This window comes from Homo sapiens, chromosome 1, assembly GCF_000001405.40.
Source record: "Homo sapiens chromosome 1, GRCh38.p14 Primary Assembly".
NCBI classification, from domain to species: domain Eukaryota; kingdom Metazoa; phylum Chordata; class Mammalia; order Primates; family Hominidae; genus Homo; species Homo sapiens.
The window spans coordinates 237,842,692-237,866,831 of record NC_000001.11 but is presented as its reverse complement, the minus strand read 5'-3'; the positions used below and the strand labels follow the sequence as shown (position 1 = coordinate 237,866,831).

General features: G+C 41.2%; 1 pseudogene across 1 annotated transcript in view, besides 1 other annotated feature; it reads right to left on the bottom strand.

Annotated features, from left to right (window-relative positions):
- LOC100130331 (POTE ankyrin domain family, member F pseudogene) overlaps positions 1 to 4,657 on the bottom strand; it is a 66,147-nt pseudogene extending 61,490 nt beyond the window's left edge. The window contains exons 1-2 of the transcript NR_027247.2: positions 4,627 to 4,657; positions 4,310 to 4,432 (exon numbers count right to left, since the gene is read on the bottom strand). The product of NR_027247.2 is annotated as a POTE ankyrin domain family, member F pseudogene (transcript). The remainder of the gene's footprint in view (positions 1 to 4,309; positions 4,433 to 4,626) is intronic.
- Positions 11,887 to 12,448: an enhancer, noted in NCBI's record as "NANOG hESC enhancer chr1:238017684-238018245 (GRCh37/hg19 assembly coordinates)". NCBI's record gives its function as "activates a minimal SCP1, AML or CMV promoter by ChIP-STARR-seq in primed H9 embryonic stem cells {active_cell/tissue: H9 hESC(primed)}" and the evidence as "EXISTENCE:reporter gene assay evidence [ECO:0000049][PMID:30033119]".

Below are 24,140 nucleotides of genomic sequence, written 5' to 3'. Positions count from 1 at the left end.
AACAAATGAACAAATACATCTTAATAGCAATCATGAAGGGAAAAGATTCTATGCTAAAGGAAAACTCATTGAAGAGCTCATATTGGGCCTGACTCATGAAGGTTATCCATTTGAATGCAGGTTTGTTTATTATTCAACTTTCTACTGGTTTTGGGGACAGGTGGAAAATTGTTAACTCTAAATTGTAAACTCTTTTGGGCCAAAGACATAAATTTCATCATTCGTTTTGTAAAATGCTGGTGCCTTAATACATCAAAGTACTTATCTAATATATTCCCCTAGTGATCTGCAATTGTCTGCTAGGTAGGGCCTGTCAGAAATCACATAATTTATTTATGTATTCATGTCATAGGAAAGAGAGGTAGGAAATACTTTTATTAAACATGTACTAGATGTTAAGCATTGTACTTGGTGCTTCGTGTACAACATTTATTTATTGCTTAAAATAACCTATGAAGTAAGAATTACATATTCCCATTTCACAGAAAACAGACTCAAGGAGACTAAGGAGCTTACACAAAGCTCCTAGGTTACTAGCGTCAAGGCTAGAGTTACAGCCATTTATTTCTGATTTCAAATGCTCTATCCTTTAGTCAATTTATAGTAGCAAAAGGTGGAGGGAACTGAAATAATTGTCCAAACATAGAGAAATCATTAAACTAGAGTATATTTGGTTAGTCAAATATATTATGACCATTTTTTGCTTATCTTTATGAAGACTGTACTATGAAAATATTCTCATAAGATAGTCTTAAGTGACAAACTCTGGATAGAAAATGACAAAATAATTACAGTTGAATTAAAATCAAACATATCATCAAAGGCACATAAAACCTGCACAGAGGGGAAAAAAGACTGGAAGGAAATATACAAGTAATAGGGTAAAGTTTTTTTGCTACTTTAATTCAAAAATTCTTTTATTAGTGTACATTTTTACACTTGGAAATCACAATGCTATATGGAAAAAACAGTGCATTAAATTCTACCATTAAAACAATTATATCATTAAAATTATTCTATTACAATCTCAACTAAGAAAAAAACCACTATTATAAAATTGCAACCTCACTCAAAAATGTGTCCATGGCCAGGCATGGTAGCTCATGCCTGTAATTCGAGCATTTTGGGAGGCTGAGGTGGGTGGATCACTTGAGGTCAGGAGTTTGAGACCAGCCTGGCCAACATGGTGAAACCCCATCTCTACTAAAAATACAAAAATTAGCCGGGCATGGTGGCGGGTGCCTGTAATCCCAGCTACTCGGGAGGCTGAGGCAGGAGAATCACTTGAACCCAGGAGATGGAGGTTGCAGTGAACCGAGATCATGCCATTGCACTCCACCCTGGGTGACAGAGCAAGACTCCATCTCAAAAAGAGTATCAATTAAAAAACCAAAAATGCCACGAACTGTGTTAGACCAAGGTTGACTTGGCCTGACCCTCTTCTGCAGATGTCTCCAGTCTTGGTTAGTGGCACTAACACCTCCTGTCCCTATTCCCCAGACACCAGCTCTCTGGAGATTCTTACAGCTTTTCTTGGTATTCTCTGAATCCTTAACACTTAATATAGTGTCAAGTACATAGGCGGTGAGTTTTAACTTGAGGAGGCTCAAAAATAATATTATTAGGATTTCGTCCCAGAATTAAATGTGCTCACACAATCCTGGACAGAGATGGAAAACTGCAGGCCCCCTTTACAAAGGCCTGTGCAACTCAGCTCAAGAGTGTTGGAGGCAGGAACAGAGGCCTCTGGCAGAGATGAGCTCTGCAGAGGGGAAGGAACTGGCCCCCGGGCTCTGTCCCCTCTCTCTAACTCACTCATCTGGTAAGCCTCTCCTTTTCCCCAGACAGCAGGAGATGGGGAGAGGACCAGGAGTGTGGCCCCAAAAGAAGTGCATCAGAGGTGGAAACATGGGCCAGCGACTGGTGCCCAGCCTCCTGTGGGAGGCAGGGGAGGGAGGGGAAGCTTTCCACCTGAAGTAGCACTGGCTGGCACACAAGCTGTACCGTGCTTAAAGCAGTATTGGAGAACAGGAAGAGGTCGGGATGTGGGAAGTGGCCCCAGGTTGTCAGAGACTCAGAGGAACTCACAGAGAGCTGTCTGTGTGACACATTTATTTTTGATCCAGCCCTTGGGTTCATGGTTCCTGTCTGAACCTTATGGCTGGAAGCAGAAACCAAGGAGCAGCTTTCACCAGGCACTCCACACGCGCAGGGCCCGGCCGTGTCACTTGAACGCTCTGATGACAAATCCACGTGGCTTTGGTTAATTGGGAACCGCGCGGAGGCCAGCTCCGCTTTGGCAAATGGCCAGTACACAGTGGCCTTGGCCCGGAGGTCAGCGCTCTCCCGGACACGTGCGCAGGTCAGGCAGTGGTGAGGCAGCGCCCCCACGTGGCGCTTGGAGGCAGAGCATCTGGGGAAGCTCTCCTCGATACCCTGCAGGAGACACGCCATGGCCCCCCAGAAATATTTGGGTGGGAGGATATTTTGCAGAAAACAGAGACCCTGAATTATTCACTTAGGGGCAAACACCTGTAAAATGTGGATTTTAACTATTAACGAAACCCCATTAGGTTAGTAAGCCCTGTTAAAAAGTTAGATTCATCTTAAAACTGAGGTATCCATCCACTACTGTATTTTATTTTTCTCTCAAAAACTACAGTGACAGATTTTTTTGTTTCATTTTGGTTTTTCTAACAAACTTTCAGAAAGCAAATTAATACTTGAAAATTTCTCAGAAACCAGCTCTGTGACTTTAGACAGCAACATTTCAAAATAGCTTCCATCTCATCTTTAAAATGATGAGATTAAACTCCATGATTCCTAATTTCCTTCCAGCTCAAAAATATATTGACTTCTAGGGTGCATAACATGCTTTTCTTTATAATTTATATTACAATATCATAATTTCATTAAAAGTGGTCTAGATGACAGGAAAGAGAGTTCCACTCATTCTGGCTTATGCTAAGGGAGCGCATTTCCAGGAAATAAATAAGAGAATCTTGTGAGCGGCCATAAACACATGCTGAAATACAGCCAAGCCCCAAAGAGAAAACCCAAGGCTGCTTCCTGCCTCTTTCTCATGGGCCGTGAGGGTCCCTCACAGCTTCTGCTCTTGTGAGCACGTCTGACCCCATTCTCCCCGATCTGCAGCAGCCAGCTCTCCCTTTTAACACATACCAGGACTCCTGTTTTCTCATAGCCCCAGTTTGCAGGTGGCCCATAGTTACCACCGGGGCCCTGAGTCTGTGTAATGAAGTAAGCTCAGCTCCCATAGCCAATCCCCTCTCAATTTCCCAGTTCCAAAATCCAAAGAGAGAAATATGATTGGTGTAGCTCACCTATGGAGTCAGGTTTCACAGTATAGATCATTAGCAGCCTGTGATTGGCTGTCCTGGGGGCCGGTAACTGCCTGTGGTCCAATCAGGTGGGAGGGTAAGGTCATGTAACACAAAACATGGCCACTTAATTGTGGGTGGGGCACATTCTGTTAGTAAGGGTTAACATTAGACTGTAAAGACCTGTGCTGTCAAATAAGACAGTCACTAGCCATGTGTAGAATTTGAATTCATATTAATTGGAATAAAATTTAAAAATCAGTTCTAGTTTACACTAGCCACACTTCCTGCTCAGTAGCTATATGTGTGTCTAGTAGCTACTACATTAAGAACGTTCCCATCACTGGAGAAAGTTCTGGTGGACATCACTGACCTCTAGACAATAGAGCTATCTAGGGGAGTTATTTAATGTAGAAGATGATGATAACAGAGAATTATTTTACTATCTTGTTTTCTATCTTGGTGTCACAACTTAGATTCTTAGAGTCCTTGGAGAAGAATAAGAGGCAAAGCAGATGTAATTTTTCTCATGTACTAGATGCTTATTGAGTGTCCTAAGGCAGCCATAGGGACATTCTATCAGCTATCACTTTCTCAAACTGCGGCCTGGGTCACTGACTCTGGATCGGCAAGATCTGCAGAAACACAATGGGAAAAATTAGAATATACATTTTTTAAATTCATGTGACCCTTTCACATAAGGCACAAATAGAGTTAAAGCTGTGGGATTTGGTACCTGTTCAAACGGGGGTTTCATTGTCTCCTCCACTAAGGTGACTCTCAAAAAGTAGTCTTGAAATAGGAATGGTATAGGTGCTGGAGGCACAGTATTCAGTCACAGCAGAATAAGAAAAGCAGTACATAGGTCAGGGCCCTATTGCCTCTAATGTCCTTGCTCTTATTTTTTGGCCAAAGCGTAACCGGGGTACCATTCACTGAGTCCTGAAGTGGTAGGGGTGATGGTGATATACCTCACTAGCTGGTTCCTATGGAGTGACTTTGCTCTGTGACCTGCTTCTTCATCCTCAGGCCTGCTTTGGCTGCTGTCTGTTTACCAGCCTGGCTCTCCAGCCTCATGTCTTTCCCAGGAACCCCTGTACATAGAGAAGACAGTTTCCCCTCAGAAGAACTAAAAAAATCACATGAGCCTGGACCTGCTAGGGGCTATCACTACACTATTTAAAGACAACCTGATAGAAGTGCATCGAATTGAGGCACGACAGAGAAAGAGGGGAGGAGGGAGACGGAGGGAGAGAAGGAGGAAGTAGTGAGTAGAGAGATGCATTACAGTGACTTCATTTGTACTCTTGGATTCAGCGATGCCGGAAGTGGCACCTAGGACTTCCAGGTTACGTCAGCCAGTACACTTCCTTTTACTCGAAGGGAGTCTGAGCTAGGTTTCACTTGCAGCCAAGGGAATCTTCATTTCTTCACATCCTGAAACCAGCTAATGACAGCAGCAAGGAAAATGAACTAATAATTTATACTAAGTTATAAATTACTCATGACTTAATATTTCCTACTCCACGATTAATTCAGGTTTTGGAAAGCACTCTGAAGACTCAATGCCCCTCTTTCTATAATGCTCTCTCTGTAATATTTTGAAGGCTATTTCTCCCTTTATTTCTCTTTCAATAGAGTTTAATTTTTAGAGAAGTTTTAGGTTTACAAAAAGGATGAGCAGAAAGTACAGAGTTTCCATATACTCCTCCTCCTCTCCCTGCTCTCCAGTTTCCCATAGCATTAACATCTTGCATTGCTGTGGTACATGTGCTACAATTGGAACATTATTGATATATTTTTATTAACTAAAGTTTATGGTTTCCATTGGGGTTCACTCTTTGTGTTGTAATTTCTATGGGTTTTGACAAATGAATATTGTCATATATCCATTACAGTATCATACAGAAAAGTCGTTCTGCCCTAAAAATTGCTTGTCCTCTGCTATTCATCTCCTCCCACACACCCCTAATCCCTGACAACCACCGATCTTTTTTACTGTCTCTATCTATAGTTTTGCCTTTCCTAGAATGGCATATGTTAGAATCATACAGTATATAGCCTTTTCAGATTGGCTCCTTTCACTTCGGAATATGCATTTAAGTTTCCTTCATGTCTTTTCGTGGTTTGATTATTCATTTCTTTGAATTGCTGAATAAGGTTCCATTCCCTGGATGTACCACGGTTTGTTTATCCATTCACCTACTGAAGGACATCTTGGTTGTTTCAATATGATGCAATTATGAATAAAGCTATAGATTGGATGACCTCTTTCTGTTATGCCCTGTATGCCCTGCCTGTCCTATTTCGAAAGCTGTTTTTCGTTTTCCGAGAGTCACTCAGATGTCATCTGCCTAAGGAAGGCTTCTCATCTCCTCCAGAAGGTGTTCTTCGCACCTTGCTGTCTTCCTTCCCTGTAAGAGCACTTCTTACATGTTCTGTAATCGCATTATCACATGGTTGTGTGGTTTCTTTGTGTCTGTTCCCCACCAGAGTGAATTCTTTCAGAATGTCTTACCTCTAGTGAGTTACTTAACCTCCTTTTGCCTCAGTTTCCTTGTCTGTAAAATGAAGATAATTTTTATTGTGAGAATTAAAGAAGTATATTTATATACACACATACCCCATCTAGCATAAATGTATATATTCTAAATATATATGTATATTTAGGATAGTACCTGGCACACAGTATACACTATATACATATTATTCTTTTTATTGCTATTAATATTAATCTTTGTACCCATAGCAACCAGCATGTAGATGCCACTTAGTAAATACATTTTGGGCCTGGTGCGGTGCCTCACGCCTGTAATCTCAGCACTTTGGGAGGCCCAGGCAGGTGGATTGCCTGAGCTCAGGAGTTCGTGACCAGCCTGGGCAACACAGTGAAACCCCATCTCTACTAAAATACAAAAAATTAGCCAGGTGTGGCGGCGCGCACCTGTAATCCCAGCTACTACGGAGGTTGAAGCAGGAGAATTGCTTGAACCTGGGAGGTAGAGGTTGCAGCAAGCCGAACTCGTGCCACTGCACTCCAGCCTAGGCAAGAGAGCATGACTCTGTCTCAAAAACAAAAAATAAAAATAAATAAATATAAATAAATACATACATACATAAATACATTTTGAACCAATAGTTTCCTTGTGGATGTTGGTTGATACCTGACTAGATGTGATTTATAATTTAAAATCATAATAACTATGCCAGAAGATCAATACCTATTATCGTAGGGGTTTTTCTCATGCGATTACTCAGCAATTTTAATGAAACCTGTAGACTCAGGGTTAAGCTGCCTTCTGTGAGGAGGGCATGACCAGAGCTAATGAGGCCTGGAAGAAAGAAAGAACTGGGGCATTTGCCACTTTCAGATCCAGAAGCTTTACAGATCCAGAAGCTTCACTTCCCATTCCTCTGTCTTAATTCATTTCTATAGAATTGACACAAACTCAAAACAAACTCCAAAGGCTCTGGTGAGTAAACTAGAATATGGCAACTCTAATTTCCCATGAAGTCTGTAATTGGCAATGGGAGGGGGATGCTTAAATAACCCTGACCAGTACATTTATTTTCTATTTGTAGGAAAACTCGATATAATAATCATACTTCTATCTGTGGGCTTAACCCATTTCCTGGTTAGAGGAAAAACGAGTGAAGCTCGCTGCCCGAGCAGTATTTCCGAGGCAAATGGGAAATGTGTTAAAGAGCTCTTACCAAATTTGTATACAACATGTGCCATTTGTGTAAGGCATCTGGAAGATATGAGAGCTTCCTTTACCTTCTTCCCTTTCAGCAATGAATCATGACAGTTGAGCCCTTGTCAGTGTCTGCACCCAAGACTCAAAGTGAAACATGGAAACATGTCTGAGTTCAACTAATCTAACCACCTCACATTTTTGATATGGTAAAATGGAGATGCTTACTTTTCTTTAAAAAATTATTTTTATTTATTCTAAAAAACAAAAACAGGATACATGTGCAGAGTGTGCAGGTGTGTTACACAGGTATATGTGTGCCATGGTGGTTTGCTGCACCTGTTGACCCGTCCTCTCAGTTCCGTCCCCTCACCCCCAATCCTGCAACAGGCCCTGGTGTGTGTTGTTCCCTCTCTGTGGACATGTGTGGAGATACCTACTTCTAAAGGCCACTGTGTATTAAATGAGGAAGGTATTTGAAGCACAGGAAGACAGAGAGAGCCTGTCATAACTTCACTGCCCACATCATTTGCTGGAGCAAGAAGGCCCTAGGATGCAAATTCAGCTCTTCCTGTTGAGTATCGACTCCCAAATCCAGCTGGATTTCCTAACGTGCCCTAAGGCTTAGGCATAACCAGCTTTTCAAAAGTTGAGTCAAAGATGAAAATTTTTTGAAAATGAATATTCCTTTGGGCAACAGCTGTACCCGGGATTTAATTACTTTATAAATGAGCTTTGATCTCACAGTTTTGTGGCAGTCTTTCCACCACAACCACCCCCAACCCACCGTTCTGCAGACTATGCCTAATTATCTTATCTTGCTAAGTCATTAAATATGCATTTGTTAAAGCCACTTTCCTCCTCCTTTCTCACTACCCCAGGAGATTTTATCATAATTACTGATTTAGTTTCTTTCATTAGATGATGATTAGTTTGTGAATCTTTTGTTTTGCTGACATGTCTGTGTAGCTGGGTGGCCCTGGGAATTCTTGTGCCTGGATACCTGTTGTGGCCGCCTTCCATTTTCCTTCCAAAGGAGAAAGATAGTTGGTAGTAAGAGAGGTCCAAGCTATCCAGTTGGTTTAATTGAGCAGTTGCTGAACTGGTTAAACAATTAGTGTCTTAGCCTAGATTCCCCTGAGAACAGAGACTGGCACAAAGACTTGTGAGCAGGTAGTTTGCACGTCAATATGTAATGCAAATGTTTGCATGTCACCCAGGGAGTGGAGTGAGGGACCAGTGGGAGGGAAACAGGAGAGAGAGGTACTGCAAGGGCATGTTGCCAGGGCAGCTAGAGCTCCAACGGACAGGGGCTCCATCCCATGGAACTTTCTTTTACTTCCCCCCCAACCCAACTTTACTGAGGTATAGCTGACTCAAAAAAGCATATATATGTAAGGTGTACAAAGTGATGATTTGATATGGATACACATCGTGAAATGATTACCACAAGCTAATAAGCATATCTGTTACCTCACATAGCTAGCTACCTTAAGATCTACTCTCTTAGTAAATTTGAAGCATACAGTACAATGTTTTGAATTATAGGCATGTTAAACTAAATTTGGCCTTCATATTTTGAGTCTCTACATAACGGACTGCAACCTAACTTAGTACCTGCATGAGTCTGTTCTCACATTGCCATAAAGAACTACCCGTGACTGGGTAATTCATGAAGAAAAGAGGTGTAATGGATTCACAGTGCTGCAGGCTGTACAGGGAACATGGCTGGGAGGCCTTGGGAAATTTACAATCATGGCAGAAGGCGAAGGGGAAGCGAGCACATCCTCACATGTTGGAGGGGGAGGAAGAGAGCGAAAGGGGAAGGGCTACATACTTTCAAACAACCAGATCTCAAGAGAACTCACTATTATGAGAACAGCAAGGGGAAAACTGCACCCATGATCCAATCATCTCCCACCAGTTCCCTCCCCCAACATGAAGGGTTAAAATTTAACATGAGATTTGGGTGGAAACACAGAGTCAAACCATATCAGAACCTAAACTCACTGAAAGCCTGACTTAGGAGTATACTTTTGTAACAAGTAGCTGAATCTCAGCCAATCACAGCAGCTGAGCTTAGTCAATCAATCATAGGCAGCTAACCGATCGGACTATGTGGAAATAAGGTAAACGCTGGGCTGGAACCAATCGAGCTGTCTCGGGACCTCACTTCCGTTTTCTGTCCAGAAATGCTGCGTGCCCACATTGAGCAGCTGAATCCTCTGAACCTGTGTTCTGGTTCTGAGGGCTGCCCAATTCTTGAATTGTCCTTTGTTCAATTAAACTCTGTTAAATTTAATGTGTTTGAAGTTGTTTTTTTTTTTAAGTTATGCTGTATTTTAGATAACCAGAAGTCATTCATCTTATTAACTGAAAGTGTGTGCCCTTTGACCAACATCTCCCATGCCATTTTCTGAGAAGCCTTTCTGTATGCTCTGAGCCGTCCTTCCAGGGGAAAACAAGGGCAGAATTTACTCATTGGCTCTGGTCCCCCATCCGTCAAGCATGGCTGCGTAGCATAAGACTCTTCAGATTGTAGGTGTCTGTGCTCCAAGGGGGTCACCTCCAGCATCTCATACTGCAGCATCAGAGAAGCCCAGGGCATAAAACAAGAGATACATGGTGCAGGCCAGGCAAGCTGGTAGACGCTTGCATAGAAATACAGTCATGTGCTACATAACAACTGCTTCAGTCAACAAAACATGTATGATGGTGGTCCCATAAGATTTTCATAGAGCTGGAAACTTCCTATTGCTTAGTGACATCTTGATGATCCTGACGCTCTTTAGGCCTAGGCTAATGTGTGTGTGAGTGTCTTACTTTTTAACAAAAAAGTTTAAAAGTAAACTAACATATAAAAACTTTTAAAAATAGTGTGAAAGTTGATCCTATATGAATAGGGTCATTCTTGTCATACCCAACTATATCAGAGTTGAGGAACTAGGAGGAAAAACCACTCAGGATACATAATGTTGCTCTAGAAATGTTATTCTCTGCAAGGAAACTGCCTGTTGTAACCCAAAACCAGTTTCATCTACAGGTGCTGAGATAACTTGCTGCAGCTGTAGGACTAATTTTGCCCACTGCCATTGCCCATCCATCGGAGCTTGCCAAAACCTTACTAATATCAGTGAACTTTTTCTCAGGACCACACAAAACATCCCTCTTTTTTTCTTTATAAAACCCCCAACCTTCTCTTTGTTCTTCAGACATACTGAAGGTTACCCGGATGAGGATATGTCTTGAACTTCTTTTTTTTTTTTAAAGAGACAGGGTCTCACTCCATTGCTCAGGCTGGAGTGCAGCAGTGAGATAGATCATGGCTCACTCACTGCAGCCTCAAACTCCTGGGCTCAAGCTATCCTCCTGCCTCAGCCTCCTGAGTAGTAGGATTACAGGCCATGCCACCATGCCTGGCTTATTTTTTATTTTTATGTTTGTAGAGATAGTTCTTGCTGTGTTGCCCAGGTTGGTCTTCAGCTCCTGGCCTCAAGCGATCCTCCCACTTGAGCCTCCCAAAGCACTGAGATTACAGGCATCGGCCACTCTGCCCGGCTCCTGAATTGCAATTCTTTCCTCCAAAATAAAATTTTAAATTTAGAGATTTATCTCTACATTTTTATTTTGATGTCAGCAGCAATAGAAAAAAGCTTATAGAATAAGGACATAAATAAAGTATTTTTATATGGCTATACAATGTGTGTTTTAAGCCAAGAGTTACTACTAAAGAGTCAAAACCTTAAAAATTCAAGTTTATGTGGTAAAACAGTTTCAGTGAGCTAAGGTTAATTTATTTAAGAAAAATATTGTTCACGAATTTAGTGTAGCCTAAGTATACAGTTGTCAAAAAATGTGAATCCGAAAGAGCCAATCCTTCAAATGCATCCCAAGTGGCTAACTGATCCTAAATTAAAAATAGAGCTAAGTGGTCATTTGTTAACTAGGGATCACACAGGTACTGAGTTCCCTGAAAACCTGCACCTTTTTGTTATTAAGACTGTCAGCGTTCACCTAAATCAACCAATCACAGCTCACCTACCTTGGCCAATCAGGACTCAGCTGTATCACCCAATTAGGATTCAGCTGTATTGACCAATCAAAACGAAGCAAGTTTCAAGTCTTCATTGCATACATGGACCTGATTGGAAGCCCAGGTGGGAACTTTTGTTATAAAACCAGGGCCTTGTTTTTTTTTTTTTTTCCTCTGGAACACCCCTTCGTTTTACACTTAAGGCTGCAAACTCTTCGCTGGAATAGTTTCTTTTCTCCATGTTTTTTTTCAGGGAACTTGAGTTCACAGTGTTTACAAAGTCTTCAGTAGTGTATAGCAATATCCCAGGCCTTCAAATTCACTCACCACTCCTCACTGACTCACCCAGAGCAACTTCCAGTTCTGTAAACTCCATTCATGGTAAGTGTCCTAGACAGATGTACCGTTTTCTATCTTTTGTAATGTATGTATTTTTTTACTATACCTTTTCTATGTTTAGATATACAAATACCATTGTGTTACAGTTGCTTACGGCGTTTGGTATAGTAACATGGGGCACAGGTTTGTAGCCTAGGAGCTAAATGGCTATACGCCTAACCGAGGCGTGCTGTAAGCTACAGCATCTGCGTTTGTTTGCACGGTGGTGAAATCGCCTAAGGACTCATTTCTCAGAACGTATTAAGTTATGGATGACTGCATAGCGATTAGAACAGGGCACTGGAAATGCAATCGACACATATACTATGAGCCCTTTTTATTTTCTATTATTTCACAAGTGGCGCAACCCTTTCTTAGGTCTTCTATCTGATCTACTCGTTTCCAGCTGAAGTTTAGAAAGATAACAAGTGATTCCCCACAGTGTTTAATGCTACTCTGGGTGTTATCAATGATTTCAAAGAACATTGAAAAATTTTCCAAAATCATTTGAACCTGCTTTCTCAAGTATGTGGCACACATTTGAACCATTAAGAGGAGTCATCAGTTGGGGAGGAATGTATGTCTTATTAAGGCTAACAGTGGTGAGATGTCCCTCTCATAAAGCATTAGGAAAGTTTGCTTAAACCACGATACGCATTTTGCCACGGTTCCATGGAAGCAAGTGACTGTCTGAAACTTCAGCCATTGACTCTGAATGCCCTTCACAGTGGGAAGCTGGATGATTTCAAAACCTGGGTGATGGAGGTAGTGAAGGAATGCTTTCTACAAAACAGAATGTTGGCCGGGGTGTGTGGCTCACGCCTGTAATCTTAGCACTTTGGGAGGCCAAGGCAGGCAAATCAGTTGAGGTCAGGAGTTCGAGACCAGCCTGGCCAACATGGTGAAACCCCGTCTCTACTAAAAATTAGCTGGGTGTGATGGCTCCCAGCTACTCGGGAGGCCGAGGCAAGATAATCACTTGAATCTGGGAGGCGGAGGTTGCAGTGGGCTGAGATCGTGCCACTGCACTCCAGCCCGGACGACAAGGCAAGACTCTATCGCAAACAAACAAACAAACCGGAATGTATTTGGGAGAATAATTTCCTTCGGCAATGTAGGAAATTATTGCAGCCTTCTGAAGTGGCTTGAATGTGATTCAACCGAGCATTTTCAAATCTTTTCAGTGTAACAAAAGTAATTTAGGTCTACATTTAAATGTGAGAAGTCCTAGAGGGCAGGCAGTTGATTTATATACTTATCACATTGTGGCTAATCATGTACTTGAAAAGCAAGAGAAAATTACATGAAGTAAGACATGCAAGTATGTAAAGGCCAGGGTGTCTTCAGAAATCAATTACTTGACTCTGGTTAAAAATCACACCGATGCTAACACAGGAGAAGGTTCATATTCAGATGTAGAGAAAACATGACCTTCACAATCTGAGCTAACAAAAGAGCACTGTGTATTGACCTGAGGCAAAACAATCCTCTAGCCTGGAAGAAATAGGAGCTAGTAACCTAATAAACTATAGGCACATGGTTGTAGTTCCATCAGCTGTGATTTCTCTACCCCTGAGGATGTTTTTAGGAAGAGTGCAACATATTAGGACAATGTCGTGGGGGTATGAGCTTCAAATGATTCAGTCTAAAGCCATAAAAAAAGTTCAAATGTATTGCAATTTCTGGAGGAGGATAAGCTTTATAGTATCTCTCTATGCTGTTTCTATTATAAGACAATGACAGCTTGGTTGAAGTTGATATTCTAGATAATGCTGTGTGGTGTTGGTGGGGGTGTGAGAAAGGCAGGAGGTTCTTCACTGAATGGATGTTTCAGTGAGGCAGGTGGCATGCATTGAAGACACAAGGTTGGTGGTAGGACAGAAATTAGAAAGGAACATTTGTGAGACTAATGCTGTTTAAATAGTACAAGAAGCGAAGACAGAAGGTAAAGTGTTGATGGAGGATAGCCAAGGTCAAAGCATTAAGAAACAATGGCAATTCAGAAAGTTTACTTTAGAGGCTGGAAGCAATATATTGACAAGAAGGTTATGCTAAAAGGACATTTGTATGAATGAGGGATGTAACTGCAAGCTGTGGATATATTTGGCTGCAACTCAATAAAAATGATTATGGATAAGAAAAGAAAGACATTTTATTCCCTGATCCAATAGTGACTCAAGTTTAACACTGGCAGCTCTGGAGTTGAAGATGTGGCAAAAAGTTTAGGATGAGCCTGACAGAAACAAGAAAAAGATGCAGGGAGGGAAGGTCCTTTGGGATGTATCTAAAAAGAAAAGCAGCCTACCAACACTTTTATTTATTATTATTTTTTGAGATAGAGTCTTGCTGTGTTACCCAGGCTGGAGTGCAGTGGCATGATCTTGGCTCATTGCAACCTCTGTCTCCGAGGTTCAAGCAATTCTCTTGCCTCAGCCTCTTGAGTAACTGGGATTACAGTTGCCTGCCACCACGTCGAGCTAATTTTTTGTATTTTTAGTAGAGATGGGGTTTCACCATATTGGCCAGGCTGGTCTCGAACCCCAACCTCAGGTGATCCACCTGCCTTGGCCTCCCAAAGTGCTGGGATTACAGGCATGAGCCACAGCTAACATATTTAAACTGTGATCCATTTCCTTCTTTACATTCTCATAAGGGACATTTTAAAAATAATTGCTTCATAATTGATTTGGGTACATTAGGTGGAAGACATGCAAATAATATGGAAGAGAAATTCCAGTTAAGGAACAAAAGAGAAGCTTTTAGAGGTTATCGGTTTCCAGGAAGCAAGTAAAATGATAAATGAATAGAAAAGACCATAAACTTCCTGTGCCAAAGGAAAGCGTCATCTCGAACACACACCATTTATTTCAAGCCCATTGTGAAGACAGCTAGAATGTAATCTCAAACCCTAACCATAATTAGATTTTGCAAAATGTTTAACTACTAAATCAACTAAAAGCACCAAGGAGAATCAATGTATTTGATTTACCATGTTTGAAACATGGATACAGACTACTAAAAAGTCTGTATGGCAAAGACTAATATTTACCGAGCATTGTTCGCGTACATACTAATATTGGTAGCTTTACCATTTAATTCTCATGACATGCAATGAGGTAAGATAATATCATCATTCTACAGAGATGGAAACTGAGATTTAAATGGGTTAGGAAATGTGCCATATTCTGTTGACCCCCGTTTCCAAAGTACCCAGCCTGGTGTCCAATAGAAAGGTATTTAGTAACTCTCTGCTAAATGAATATATTAAGTAGTGATACCTAGAATCACACCTGAAATACCTAATGCAATGCTAAGTCTTTGAGGTCTCTGCTCTATTGCTTATTACTAATACGACTGAGATGCAGTTTGAAGTGTGAATATCATAACATGAACAATCTTCAGCTGCCACCAAGACAAGCCACCTCCTTTCTTCAGTACTTTGATGGATAATCAAATGGAATATCTACCAGAATAATCCAAACAGCTATGGAGAGAGTACATAAAACTTGCAATTTAGCCCTTCCCTCTTTTCCCAACCAAAAATTAGTATCTAACTTCAAGATAGACTTAAAAAATTAGAGGAAATATACTTTAATGAAGTAGCAGCAAACCCCCAAATTTATGAATAAATTAAACTCCAAGGTATTCAACATTCAGGTAGTCATCACAGTGTTGATTTTTACTTTTTTTTAGGGCAAAAGGGTGGGGGAGAAAATTATGCTTATAGGAGATGAGTGAATGAAGCCACTTCAGAAAAGTTTTAAAATATGAGCTGAGAAACAATAAAATCAGAGTTGTGGCAAGGAGATATCCTGTCCATATTCATTTACCATCTCCTTCAAGTAAGCAGTCAACTTGTCTCAATGTGGTGCAACACGGTTGTATAATAATTATATTAGGAACAGAATGCTGATAGATACTGGAAGTGATGTCAAAGCAGCCTCACGAGTGCTCCACTGGCGCCCCCTGCTGTCTCCTCTGTAGTCATGCTATGTATCTTTAGCTCTGTTGAATTGCTTTTCCCTGGCCGATAATGCCTTTTCCCATGGTGTTAATTAGGTTGCAAAGCTCCACTACCAACACTGAAACAACTTCAGTAGAACGCAGAATTCCAAGAGAACTGTGACCCAGTTTTTATGGTCGTGTCTTTATAAGGAAAAGCCCCAAGATACTTAGGAGTTAATCCACAGCCTCATGAAGAGTAAACCAAGGCCATTCCAATGGGTGGTGCCTGGCAAGAGAGCCAAAACACCAGTCGACCAGAAAACATTTTTGTAAGATAGAGCTGGAAATTCTACTTGCATCACAAACTCAAATGGCAAGTCGTTTGTTCCTTTAACATATATTGAGCATCTATAACTTATTGAAAATTATTCTAAGCATTGCTGGATACAAGCAGAATAAAGTGGTAACATTGACTTTCAGGAGTTCACCTTCTCATAAAAAAGGTTTGCTCAAAAAAACTTTCTGGCTTGGCACAGTGGCTCACACCTGTAATCCCAGCACTTTGAGAGGCCAAGGTGGGTGGATCACCTGAGGTCAGGAGTTTGTGACCAGCCTGGCAAACATGGTGAAACCCCATCTATACTGAAAATACAAAAATTAGCCAGGTGTGGTGGTGCACACCTGTAATCCCAGCTACTCGGGAGGCTGAGGCAGGAGAATTGTTTGAACCCAGGAGGTGGAGGTTGCAGTGGGCCAAGATCATGCCACTGCACTCCAACCTGGGCAATGGAGCGAGACTCCATCTCAAAAAAAAAAAAAAGCAAAACAAAAACTTTCATTAAAGTAATATTTACAAATCTATACACAGAACCGTAGAGAGGGAATTTGTTCTTGGTGTAATGGTATGTAATGGTAGGTGACAGCCCTGATCATCTTCCCAGGGAAAACAAAAATACTAAAAATACAAAAAGCAACTTTGGTTTAAATAACTGTTTTTATTAAAGTCTAACATACATACAGAAACATGTGCAAATAATTGCATAGTCAGGTTATCACAAATGAACACACCTGTATAGCAACCACTCAAATCAACAAATGTAACCCTACTGGCATTTCAAAAGCCAGCCTATGCTTCTCTGTGCTTCTAGTCACAAACCCCTCCTTCCACCAAGCTGACTTTAAAGGTAATTTTTGCCTGTTGAGAATCACACAATATTTCTTTTGTTACATCTGACATCTTTCGCTCCACTGTGAGACTCATCCATATTGTTTTATGTGCAGTCGTTTGGTTTTTATTGGTGTATAGCATTCTATCGTATGAATATAGCACATGAAAAGAGTTTACTTGTCTGCTCAATTGTAGGATGTTTTCCTGCAGTGTTTAGCTATTACGAATAACACACCTATGAAAATTATTACATGCATCTTTTGTTGTACCTATATACACTTGGGTATATCTACCTAATGTTGGAATTTCTGGATCACATGGCATCTAAAGGATAACCTTTAGTAGACACTACCACAGAGAACTATCAACTTATTAAAAACCTTTGATGCATTGGCAAGAATGTAAGAAGTAGTTGAGGTTAAAAAAAGTTCCCTTCCCCTCCCTCTCTCTCATCCTCCCTCCCTCTCCTCTTCAATAATTCAACCTAAAAACCATTAGGTGGAGTGTCTAGATGAGGAGGAGGCAGTGGTAGTGGCCCAGTGTGGAATATAGGAACCCCAGAGGAGTGAGGAGGGCATCACCCACGGGGGGAGTGAGAGTGAAGGTGTGGGCAACCCAGCGAGGGCTGCTGAGTGAGCAGAAGGGCGTCTGCCCCAGAAGGGGGTATTGGCAGTCGTAACTGGCTGTGAGGTGACTGCTTAGGGGAGAGCAACCCAGCGCAGGTGAGGGGTCAGAGACTGAAGACAGGAATGTATTCAAATAGAAGATGGTGTGGCTATCGGAGATTAGTTACACAGAAGGACTGTTGGCTCAAAAAGTAAATCTACTGAGGATAAAAGGGATCTAGGTGTCTAACTATTGGAGAAGGGAGTTACAGATTTGAAAATGGAGAAACTGGAATGAACTCTGTGGTGTCAGATTGGAGTCGGAGGGTTCAGTGTCAATCCATGGTTTTTAATATATAGAGATAAATATAGATAGAACTGTGCATTTTATATCTTGAGCTTTGTCCGCTATGAATGAACATTGTTTTGCTTCCTTCTTCTCCATCCGGATGCCTTCTATTTTTTTTCTTGCCTAATTTTCCTGGCTAGGAGATCTAGTATAAATTTGAATAGAAGTAGCTAGAGCAGACATTTTTGTTTTGTTCTTAGAGTTAGGGGGAAAGCATTCGTCTTTCACCATTAAGTGTGAAGTTAGTTGGGGGATATTTGTAGATGCCGTTATCAGATTGAAGTAGTTCTCTGTTTCTTCTTTGTTGAGTTTTTATTATCAAAGAGTATTGGATTTTGTTAACCTTTTGTGACATGTGTGATATTATAAAATGTACATATGGTCTTCAACCCCATTTCCTGTTTCCTGATACACAACTCATAAAATCCTTAGAATCATCAAAGTCATGACTTTTCATATGCTAATGATTGACTGTTGGCTGCAGCCCATAGGTAGCTCCAAGTGGGACTGGTCACTGGAAAGACCAAGGCATGAGTAGAAGGTGGGACTTTTAGCCTCACTGGCCAACCTCCAGGGAGTGGGGAAGAAGGCTAAAAGTTAAGTTGATCGCCAGTGGCCAATGATTTAGTCAATCATGCCTATATAATGAAGCCTCCATAAAAGCCCGAAAGGACAGAGTTTGGAGGAGCTTCCAGAAAGCTGAATATTTGCCCAAGGAGGCCATGGAAGCTTCACAACCCTTCCCCCATGCCTCGCCCTATGCATCTCTTCATCTCTATCCTTTGTAATATCCTTTATAATAAACCAATACATTTAGGTGTTTCCTTGAATTCCATGAGCCACTCAGCAAATCAGTCAAAACTGAAGAGGGGCCGGGCGCGGTGGCTCACGCCTGTAATCCCAGCACTTTGGGAGGCGAAGGCGGGCGGATCACAAGGTCAGGAGATCAAGACCTTCCTGGCCAACACGGTGAAACCCCATCTCTACTAAAAATACCCCCTCTCTACTAAAAACCCCATCTCCACTAAAAATATAAAAAATTAGCTGGGCATGGTGCTGTGTACCTGTAGTCCCAGCTACTCGAGAAGCTGAGGCCGGAAAATCGCTTGAACCCGGAGGTGGAGGTTGCAGTGAGCGGAGATCGCACCACTGCACTCCAGCCTGGCGACAGAGTGAGACTTTATCTCAAAAAAAAAAAAAAATGAAGAGGGAGTTATGGGAACCCCAACTTGAAGCCGGCTGATCAGAAGTTCTGTAGGCCCAGACTTGGAACTGGTATCTGTAGGAGGGTACAGTTTTGGGGACTGAGCCCTCAACCTGTGGGATCTCACACTTTTTCCACATAGAAAATGTCAGAATCAAATTGGAGGACACTCAGCGGCTGGCTGCTGCAGAATTGATTGCTTGCTTGTTGGTTGAGAGCAACCCCACACATTCGGTCACAGAAGTCTTCTGTGTTGATCTGTTGTTTTGCATAGAATAGGAAAAAGCACCGTGAGTGTGTTTTTCTTCACAACAATCTATTGAGATCATGCTTGGGTGTATGGATGCTCCATTCATTTTTTAAATAAAGTCCCCATTTTCAGTCTTTTTTTTTTTTCTGTATTTCATTTGGGGTAGTTTTATTGCTGTTTCTTCAAGTTCACTAGTCTTGTCTTACTCAGTCTAAACTTCTGTTAATTCTCTCTCATGTATTTTTCACCTCAGACACTATATTGCAATATTATTGTGCCTCTACTAATGTTAGTTTCTCTGTTGCTATCATAACAAATCCCCACAAATGTGGCATCTTAACAATCTAATCCCAGCACTCTGGGAGGCTGAGGTGGGTAAATCACGAGGTCAGGAGTTCGAGACCAGCCTGGCCAAGATGGTGAAACCCCGTCTCTACTAAAAATATAAAAATTAGCTGGGCGTGGTGGTGGACACCTGTAATCCCAGCTACTTGGGAGGCTGAGGCAGGAGAGTTACTTGAACCCAGGAGGCAGAGGTTGCAGTGAGCCAAGATTGCACCACTGCACTCCAGCCTGGGCAGCAGAGCGAGACTCTGTCTCAAACAAAACAAAACAAACAAAAAACAACAGTCAACAATCATTTATTAAGCAAAAAACATTTATTCTCTCATAGATTGGTAGGTCAGAATTCTGGACCCAGAGTGACAGCTGGTTCTGTGACTTTGTTTTACAAGATTGGACTCAAGGAATGGCAGGACTGTGCTCCTTTTTGAGGCTCTGGGGATAAACGCACTTCCAACTAACTCATTCAGGACATCAGCAGGATTTTAGTTCCATGCAACTTCAGAGGTTTCTGCTTCCTTGCTGGCTACTGGCCAGGGTCATTCTCAGCTTCTAGAGGCCACCCGATTCTCTGCCTTCCGACTCCCTCCATCTCCAAAGCCAACAGTGGCTCCAGTTCTTTCTACACTTTGACTCTCTAACATCAATCTCTCTCTCTCTCTCTTTTTTTTTTTCCTGCATTTAGCCTGAGAAAACTTTTGTAGGTGCTTCCTTTCCTGGCCTCAGGTAGTTTCCCTACGTGCTTCTGGGGCCAGTATTCAGCTGAAGACTAGAGGGGGACCCTCGGCCCATCACAGGGGTCTCTCTCCATTTCTCCTCCCTGGTTCTTTCCCCCATAGAACTCTAACCACCTTGGCATCCCCAGACTCCCAGCAACGCCTCTTTAACGCAGGGTATTATTGCTGTTGTAGTTGTTTCGTGTAAGAGAAACTAATGGGCATGAATAATCTATTTATATTAATTTCAAATCAAGATAGTAAAAATTTACATTCTTATAGAGAATTTAGTGACATCAAAGAATATATCTTCGAATTCGGTTTGAGGAAGCAGTGACCTATATGAAGAAATCCAAAATCTTCAGGTCTCATGTGGGTTGAACTGTATCCTTCTAACAGAAGATATGTTGGTGCCCTAGCCCTGAGTACGTATGTCAGAATGTGGCTTTTTTTTGAGATGGGGTCTTCACAGAGGTAATCAAGTTAAAATGAGGTTATTATGGTGGGCTCTAATCCAATATGACTGGTGGCCTTATAATAAAGGGGAAACATGGACACAGGCAGATACAGAGGGAGAATGAGAATACCACATGGAGATGAGGGCAGGGATCTACAAGCCAAGGAATGCCACCAAAAGAGAGGTGCCAATAAGCCACCAAAAGAGAGGAAAGAGGCATGGAACAGATGCCCCCTCATAGCCTCAGGAAGAATCAATGCTACCAACACCTTGATTTCAGACTCCTAGCCTCTAGAACTGTGAAACAATAAAGGAACTGTGAAACCACAGATTAATGGTAGTTACAGGAAATAACATGAATAAACTGGGCATTCAACATGTTTCTAAATCAACAAACTATAACTATATCAGTTTTCCAAAATTTATTGATAATTTTAACAAAAAATATTACCAATGCCACAATGGAAATCTTTTGGAACTTGACAAAACGATTTAAAGTGTTATCTGAAAAGAGGAGCATTAGAAAAGTCAAGAGTTTTTTTTGGTGAAAGGATGATGGATGGAGAATTTGATGTATTATATATTAAAACACATTGTGAAATTTTAGTTACTTAAAGGCATGGTCCTAATGTATCTGTTCAAACATCTTTATTGCAAGTAATAACTCAGTTCAAACTAGCTTAAGCTATCATGAAAATGACTTTTTAAAAAACTGTTATTTTAGGTTTGGGGGTACATGTGAAGGTTTGTTATATAGCTAAACTCATGTCATAGGGGTTTGTTGTACAGATTATTTTGTCACCCAGGTATTAAACCCAGTACCCAATAGTTATCTTTTCTGCTGCTCTCCCTCCTCCCACCTTCCACCCTCAAGTAAACCCCAGGGTCTGCTGTTTCCTTCTTTGTGTTCATGAGTTCTCATCATTTAGCTCCCACTTATAAGTGAGAACATCAGTGTTTGGTTTTCTGTTCCTGCATTAATTTGCTAAGGATAATAGCCTCCAGCTCTATCCATGTTCCTGCAAAAGACATGATCTCATTCTTATGCCTGCATAGTATTCCATGGTGTATATGTACCACATATTCTTTATCCAGTCTACCATTGATAGGCATTTAGGTTGATTCCATGTCTTTTCTATTGTGAATAGTGCTGCAATGAACATTTGCATGTGCGTGTCTTTATGGTAGAATGGTTTCTATTCCTCTGGGTATATAATTTATATTCCTCTGGGTATCTACCCAGTAATAGCATTGCTGGGTCAAATGGTAGTTCTGCTTTTATCTCTTTGAGGAGTCACCCTACTGCTTTCCACAATGGTTGAACTAATTTATACTCTCACCAATGGTGCATAAACATTCCTTTATCTCTGCACCCTTGCCAGCATCTATTTTTTTTTTCGACTTTTCAATAATGGTCATTCTGACTGGTGTGTGATGGTATCTCATTATGGTTCTGATTTGCATTAAATCAGTGATATTGAGCTTTTCTCATATTCTTGTTGGCTACATGTATGTCTTTTTTTGAAAAGTGTTTTCGTGTCCCTTGCCCACTTTTTAATGGGGTTGTTTGTTTTCCTCTTGTAAATGCAAGCTCTTTATAGAATGCTGGATATTAGACCTTTTACAGATGCATAGTTTGCAAAATTTTTCTCCCATTCTGTAGGTTGTCTCTTCACTCTACTGATAATTTCCTTTGCTGTGCAGAAGCTCTTTAGTTTAATTAGATCCCATTTGTCAATTTTTGCTTTTGCTGCCATTGCTTTTAGTGTCTTTGTCATGAAATCTTTGTTCATTCCTATGTCCAGAATGGCATTGCCTAAGTTGCCTTCCAGGGTTTCTCTAGTTTTAGGTTTTACATTTAAATCTTTAATCTACCTTGAGTTAATTTTTGTATGTGGTGTAAGGGGTCTAGTTTCAATCTTCTGCATATGGCTAGCCAGTTATCCTAGAACCATTTATTGAATAGGGAATCCTTCCCCTGTTGCTTGTTTTTGTCAGGTTTGTCGAAGATCAGATAGCTATAAGTGTACGGCCTTATTTCTGGGTTCTTTACTCTGTTCCATTGGTGTACGTGTCTATTTTTGTACCAGTGTACCATGCTGTTGGTTACTGTAGCCCTATTTGTATAGTTAGAAGTTGGGTAGCATGATGCCACCAGCTTTTTTTTTTTTCTTTTTTGAGATGGAGTCTCACTCTGTCACTCAGGCTGGAATGCAATGGTGCGATCACAGCCCCCTGCAACCTCTGCCTCCTGGGTTCAAGCAATTCTCCTGCCTCAGCCTCCCTAGTAGCTGGAATTATAGGTGCCTGCCAACACGCCCAGCTATTTTTTTTTTTTTTTTGTATTTTTAGTAGAGATGGGCCTCCCAAAGTGCTGGAATTACAGGTGTGAGCCACCGCACCCGGCCTCTTTTTTTCTTTTTGCTTAGGATTACCTTGGCTATTTGAGCTCTTTTATTTTATTCCATATGAATTTTAAAATATTTTTTTCTAGTTCTGTGAAGAATATCATTGGTAGTTTAATAGGACTAGCATTGAATCTATAAATTGCTTTGGGCAGTATGGTCATTTTAGCAATATTGATTCTTCCTATCCATGAACATGGGATGTTTTACTATTTGTTTGTGTCATCTCTGATGTCTTTAAGCAGTGTTTTTGTTGTTGTTGTTGCTGTTTGTTTGTTTGAGATGGAGTCTTGCTCAGTCACCTAGGCTGGAGTGCAGTGGCATGATCTCGGTTCACTGCAGCCCCCACCTACCAGGTTGAAGCCATTCTCCTGGCTCAGCCTCCCGAGTAGCTGGGACTACAGATGCACGCCACCATGCCTGGCTAATTTTTGTATTTTTAGTAGAGATGGGGTTTCACCATGTTGGCCAGGCTGGTGTTGAACTCCTGCCTTCAGGTGATCCACCCGCCTTGGCATCCCAAAGTGCTGGGATTACAGGCATGAGCCACTGTGCCTGGCCTAAGCAGTGTTCTGTAGATCTCCTGGTAGAGATCTTTTGCCCCCGTAGGTCTCCTTGTAGAGATTTTTTGCCCCGCCCCTGGTTAGCTGTATTCCCAAGTATTTTATATTTGGGTGTGTATATGGTAATTGTGAACAGGATTGAATTCCTGATTTGGCTCTCCACTTGACTGTTGTTGGTATATAGATATGTTAGTAATTTTTACACATTGATTTTATATCCTGAGACTTTGCTAAAGTTGTTTATCAGATTAATGAGCCTGTGGGCTGAGACTATGGGGTTTTCTAGATATAGAATCCAGTCATTTGCAAACAGGGATAATTTGACTTCCTCTCTTCTATTTGGATGCCCTTTGTTTCTTTCTCTTGCATGATTGCCCTGGTCAGGATTTCCACTACTGTTTAATAGGAGTGATGAGAGAGGGTGAGAGAGGGCATCCTTGTCTTGTGCTTGTTTTCAAGGGGAATGCTTCCAGCGTTTGCCCATTCATTATGATTTTGGCTGTGAGTTTGTTATAGATGGCTCTTACTATTTTGAGATATGCTCCTTCAACACCTAGTTTATTGAGAGTTTTTAACATGAAGGGGTGTTGATTTTACTGAAAGTCTTTTATGCACCTATTGAGATAAAAAGTGATTTTTGTCTTTAGTTCAGTTTATGTGATCAATTGCATTTATTTGTGTATGTTGAACCA